The sequence below is a fragment of the Homo sapiens genome, chromosome 3 (assembly GCF_000001405.40).
Source record: "Homo sapiens chromosome 3, GRCh38.p14 Primary Assembly".
Classification (NCBI taxonomy): domain Eukaryota; kingdom Metazoa; phylum Chordata; class Mammalia; order Primates; family Hominidae; genus Homo; species Homo sapiens.
The window spans coordinates 8,827,647-8,834,748 of NC_000003.12; positions in this window are offsets into that span (position 1 = coordinate 8,827,647).

The window sequence follows — 7,102 nt, forward strand, 5'->3', positions numbered from 1 at the left end:
CCCATCTCAAAAAAAAAAAAAAAAAAATTTCAGTTGAGCAACATATGAGAAAATAAATGAAACTTGACCTCTACACTATATGTTAAATTACTGATTCTCAACTGAAAGGAATTTTGCAACCCCTCCCCAACCCCCATAAGGGAACATTTGGCAATTCTAGGGACAATTTTATTGACATAACTGGCATCTAGCGGGCAGAAGCTAGGGATGCCACTAAATATCCAACAATGCACAGGACAGCCCCCACAACAAAGAATTACTCACTCAGAAATGTCCATGGTGCAGAGACTGAGAAACCCTATGCTAATCAGCTCCATCAGTGGAACATCCATAGTGCAGATGGTCCCTGATGTGGGTCTGGTTTGAGTTAGGATTTTCTGACTTTACAATGGTGTGAGAGTGGCACGTATTCAGTAGAAATTGTATACTTTGAGTACCCATGCAACCATTCTGTTTTTCACTTTCAGTACAGTGTTTAATAAATGACATGAGATATTCAACAAAACAAATAGATATTCAACACAAAGTAGGCTTTGTGTTAAATGATTTTTTCCCAACTGTGGGCTAATGTAAGTGTTCTGAGCACATTTAAGGTAGGCTAGGCTAGGCTATGATGTCCAGTAAGTTAGATGTATTAAATGCATTTTTTACTTATATTTTCAACTTAGGATGGGTTTATCAAGATGTAGCCCCATCCTAAGTTGAAGGTCATCTGTAGATCAAAATGGGAAAGGTAAAGCAAAAAGGCTTTTAGACGATAACACAGGAAATATATGTTTGACCTCAGGATAGGTAAAGATTGATGAAAAAGGACACCAAAAGCATCAACAATGAAGAAAAAGATTCATCGAGTAAACTATATTAAAATTAAAATTTTCTGTTCAAAAATCACCAAAAAGGGAAGAAAAGGGCAAGAGCAGAAGATATTTCCAACTCATATAAAAATTAGAAGACTCTTATCTAAAGTGTATAAAGAACCTATACAAATCACGAGAAACAGACAACCCATCGGGGGAAAAATAGGCAATGGACTTGAACTTCACAAAAGAAGATATCCAAATGTCCGATAAACATATGAAAAGATGCTCTATCTCATTAGTCATTAAAATAAAGCTAACTAAAACTATAATGAGGTACCATTATTCTCCCACCAGAATGGTTAAAATTAAAGATTGACAATACCAAGTATTGGCCAAGGACATGGAGAAATGAACACTCATATACTGCTACTAAGGAAAGGTTTTTACACCCATTCTGGAAAACCATTTGGCAGTGAACACACGTATACCCTAGGATCCAGCAATTCTACTCCTAGCTATGTACCCAATAGTACTGTGTACATTTGTGCACTCAAAAAGTGTGTACAACAATGTTCATAGCAGCATTATGCATAATATCCTCAAACTGGAATCAACCTAAATGTCCATCAATAATAGAAGACACAAACCAATTATGTTATATTTACACAATGGCATTCTTTGCAGAATTAAAATAAATATTAGCTATGTACAACATAATGGGCTAATCTCATAAAAATAATGTTCAGGGAAAGAAGCAAGACACAAATGAATACCTACATGATTGCGTTTGTATAAGTTTCAAAAATAGGTAAAACTAATCTATAGTATTAGAAGGCAGGATAGTGGTTATCTTCCAGACAGAAAGGGGTCAATGGCTGCAGAGAATAATGAGGGGCTTGTATTGTTAAGTTCTATTTCTTAAGTAGATATGTTCATTTTCTGAAAATGCATTAATTGTATACTTACTATTTGTGCCTTTTTATCTTTATGGTATACTACACTTCAATAAATACGTAAAAAATTAAATGCAAAGTAGAAGGAAGAAAATAAGATAAGAGAAGAACTTAATAAATTAGAAAACAAATGCACAATATAGAAAATCAACAGGCCAAAGTTGGTTCTTTGAAGAAAAACCCAGAGAAACTAATTAAGGAAAAGAGAGAATACATAAGTAGATAATTTAGAGAACATGAAAGTGATCATCACTACAGATTCATCAGACACTTGAGAATCATAAAGATAGTATTAATAACTTTATCACAATAAATTTCAAAACTTAGATAAAATGGACACAGTACAGAAAAATATAACTTATAAAAGCTGACTCAAGATGAAGTAGAAATTCTGAAGAATCCTAAAATTATGAGTAAATTATGCCAAATACTAAAGAAAGAAATAATGCCAGATATTACAAGAACTCTACCAGAAAACAGGAAAAGAAGAAATTCTTCCTAGCTAGTTTTATGGGACCTGCATCACTTTGAGTCCAAAATCAACAAAGATATGAGAAAGGAAAATTACAGGCCAATCTTGTTTATTAATATAGATGCAAAATCACAGTCAAAGTATTAGCAAAATTAATCCAGTGAGAATAGTAAGAATCAGGAAAAATGCTACACAATCAAGTTGGGTGCTACAGCAATGCAAGTTTGGTTAATGCTAGAAAAGCAATAAGTTAAAATGTACTGATAGAGGGTAACCTGGAACAAACATGATGAAAGTTTCCCCTCTGAGACTGAACGTGAAATAAGAGTGTTGGCTCTGCTATCTATCACCACTTCTGTTCAACATTCGCTGGGGGTTCTTGCCAATGCAACAAAAGGAAATACAGAGAAGGAAAAAAACAGGATAAAAGAAATATCAATGGGCCAGGTGCAGTAGCTCATGACTATAATCCTAGCACTTTGGGAGGCCAAGGCAGGTGGATTGCCTGAGCTCAGGAGATTGAGACCAGCCTGGGCAACACGGCGAGACCCCATCTCTACTAAAAATACAAAAAAAAAAAAAAATTAGCCAGGCATGGTGGCACATGCCTGTAGTCCCAGCTACTCAGGAGGCTGAGGCACAAGAATCGCTGGAACCTGGGAGGCAGAGGTTCCAGCCTAGACAACTGCACTCCAGCCTAGACAACATAATGAGACCCTGTTTCCAAAAAAAAAAGAAAGAAAAGAAAAAACATATAAAAATTATATATTTTTATGCATAAACTATTACGATTACCATTAATAGTCAATTGAGCAAGGTTTGGACATGGGTCAACAGTCAAAATCAAGTGTGTATTTATATAGCAGCCACAAACAATTAGAAAATATTTTTAAAGCTATCACTTACAATAGCATCAAAAAGTATTTAATACCTAAGAATAAATCTACAGAAAGATACAGAAGATGTCTGCACTAAAAACTATAAAATGTTATTGACAGAAATTAAAGAAGACTGACCAGATGCAGTGGCTTACACCCATAATCCCAGCAGTTTAGGAGGCAAAGGCAGGAGAATCTTTGAGCCCAGGAGTTTGAGACCAGCCTGGGCAACATAGTGAGACATTATCTCTACAAAAAAAAAATAAAAATAAAAATTGACAGAGCATGGTGGCACATGCCTGTAGTCCCAACTACTCTGGAGGCTGAGGTGGGAGGATCGCTTGGGCCCAGGTCAAGGCTGCAAGCGAGCCGTGATCATGACTCTGCACCACAACAGAGCAAGACCCTGTCTCAAAAAGCAATTAACTAATTAATTAATTAATTAAAGGAGATTTGTTATATCAAGTACATGGATTAGAAAATTAACTGCTATAGATATATCCAATATCTATGGCATTTTTCTATGGCATTTAATTTCTTCAATTTGATCTATAAGTTCAATGTAATTCCAATAAAAATTCAAGCAGGGGTGCATGTGTGTGTGTGTGTGTGTGTGTGTGTGTGTGTGTGTGTGTGTGTGTGGAAACTGACAAGCTAATTATAAAATTTATATGTAAATGAAAACAATTTTAAAATGCTAAGATATTCTTGAAGAAGAAAAAAAAATGGAGGATTAAATCTACCAGACATCCAGTCTTCCTCATGATTGAGCTTCAGTATTTAAGACACTATGATATTGGTGCAAGGATAGATAAATACACATAGATAATGAGTCATGTAAGATACTTAATATGGGACAAAGGTGGCACCGATGAGCTATGGGGAAAAGACAGTGTTTAAATTAAATGGTTTTGGGTAAACTGGATAGCCACCTATTCCCTACTTCCCACCATCCATGAAAATCAATTCCAAGTGGATGATAGCTCTAAAGAAAAGATAAAGCAATAAGCTTCTAGAACTGCACTATCCTATATAGTAGCCACTAGTCATATGTAGCTATTTAAGTTTTTAGATTAATCAAAACTAAATACAATTAAAATTTTCTCAGTTAAAAGTTGCGCAGTTTCTCAGTTGCACTAGTGACATTTCAAGTACACAATAGCCACATGTGGCTCTTAGCTACCACACACACAGAACCTTTCCATCATCACAGAAAGTTATATTGGAGAGCAGCAATCTAAAACAGGGTTCAGCAAACTATGGCCCACCGGATGTTTTGATAAATAAAGTTTTATTGGAATACACGCATACCCATTCATTCACTTGTTGTTTATGGCTACTTTTACACTACAATGGCAGAGTTGAGAAGTTGTGAGAGAGATCATATGACCCACAAAGCCTAAAATATTTACTATCTTACCCTTTTCAGTGAAAGTTTGCAGACCTCGACTCTAGAAGATAACAGGGAGAATTTATTTGTAATCTTGGGATCTTGACCAGGTCATGAAATATAATCGGGAAGATGAATTGAACAAAGCTTAAATTAAGAACTTCTATTTTTCAAAAGACATTATTCAGAAGACTGAAAAGGCAAACCACAGAATGAAAGAAGATATTTGTAACATATATAAGAACAAACGACTCTTTTGCAGAATATACAAAGAATGTATACAAATCAATAAGAAAAATTAAAATGGTCAAGAGGTTGGAATAGGTATGTCACAGCACCCCAAAAAAAGAACACCCAAATGGCAAATAAATCAAAAAGTGCTCAGCAATGCCAATTCTTCCAAATTAATCTATAGATTCAATGCATTCCCAATCAAAATCCTGGCAAGGTATATTGTGGGCACTGACAAACTGGATTCTAAAGTTTATATGGAAAAGCTCAAGACCCAAAATAGCCAACACAACGTTGAAGGAGAAGGAGAGGACTGACATGGCCTGGCTTCAAGATTTAGTATAGAGATACAGTAATCAAGACAGCGCGGGCTGGGTGCAGTGACTCACGCCTATAATCCCAGAACTTTGGGAGGCAGAGGCTGGCAGATTGCTTGAGTTTGAGAACAGCCTGGGCAATATGGTGAAACTCCGTCTCTACAAAAATTAGCCAGGTGTGGTGGTGCATGCCTGTAGTCCCAGCTACTTGGGAGGCTGAGGTGGGAGGATGGTTTACGTCTGGGAGGTAGAGATTGCAGTGAGCTGAGATTATGCCACTGCATTCAGCCTGGGTGACAGAGACAGACCTTGTCTCAAGAAAAAAAAAAAGAAAAGAAAAGAAAAAGTGTAGTATTTGGTGGAAAAAAAAAATAGAAAAATAGATCAATGCGACAGAATAGAGAGCCAAGGAATAGACCCACACAAACAGAGTCAACTGATCTTTGACAAAGGAGCAAAGGCAATTCTAATGAAGAAAGGATAACGTTTCAATAAACAGTGCTGGAACAGCTGGACATCCCTATGCAAATATAAAAAAAAAGTAAATCTAAATGCAGACCTATGCCCTGCACAAAACTTAACCCAAAATGAATCATAAACCTAAACATAAAATGCAAAACTATAAAATTTCTAAAAGATAACATAGGAGAAAATCTAAGCTTGATGATGGGGTTTTAGATACAACATCAAAAGTAAGATCTATGGAGAAAAATCTGTAAGTAGGAATTCATTAAAATTAAAAACTTCTGCTTTATAAAAGCTGCTGTTAAGTGAATGAAAAGACAAGCCACAGACTGGGGAAATAAAAGAATTGCAAAAGATATATCAGATAAAAGACTTCTATTCAAAATATAGAAAGAACTCTTGAACTCAACAATAAGAAAACAACCCAATTTTAAAGTAGAGAAAGATCTAAACAAACAATTCATCAGTGAAGATATACAGATGGCAAATAAGCATATAAAAAGATGCTCAAATTTTTATGCTCTTGGAGAACTTCAAATGAAAGCAATCAGATACACTACCACATGTTATAATGGCTAAAATCCCCAAACTGACAGTACCAGGAAGTCTCATTCATTGCTGATAGGAATGAAAAAATAGTACAGCCACTTTGGAAGACAGTTTGGCAGTTTCTCAAAAAAGTGTTCATGTTCTTACCATACGACCCCACAATGACCCTTCCTGGTATTTACCCAAATGAGATGAGAACTTACATCCACACAAAAACCTGCACATGAATGTTTATAGCAGCTTTACCCATAATTGCCAAAAAGTGGAAGCAAACAAGATGTTCTTCAATATGTGAATGGAAAAACAAACTGTGGAATATTAACCCAAATGATAGACTATTAAAAAATGATAAAAAAGTGATAAAAACAAATTAACTATCGAGTCACACAAAAAAAAACATGGAGGAAACTTAAGTGCATATTACTAAGTGAAAGAAGCCAATCTGAAAAGTCTACTTACTGTATGAGTCCAACTATATGACATTCCCAAGAAGGCAAAACTATAGACTGAAAAAAAGATCACTGGTTCCCAAAGATTTGGGGGATGTGAAAAGGTATGGATAGGTTATGCACAGATTTTTAGAATGGTAAAACTACTCCGCATGATGTTATAATGGTGAATACATGACATTATGCATTGGTAAAACCCATAGAATTATACAAATTAAGGTTCACGAAGAGTGAACCTTAATATACATAGTGAACTTTAGTTAATAGTAATGTATCAGTATTGGTTCATTAGTTATAACAAATGTACCACACCAATGCAAGATGTTAGTTATAGGAAAAACTGTGTTGTGTGAGGGAGAGGGTATATGGGAATTCTCTGTACTATGTGTTAAATATTTTTTTTAATAATTTTTTTTTTTTTTTTGAGACAGAGTCTCGCTCTGTTACCCAGGCTGGAGTGCAATGGTGTGATCTCGGCTCACTACAACATCTGCCTCCTGGGTTCCTGCCTCAGCTTCCCGAGTAACTGGGATTCCAGGTGCAGGCCACCATGCCGAGATAATTTTTGTATTTTTAGTAGAGACGGGGTTTCGTCATG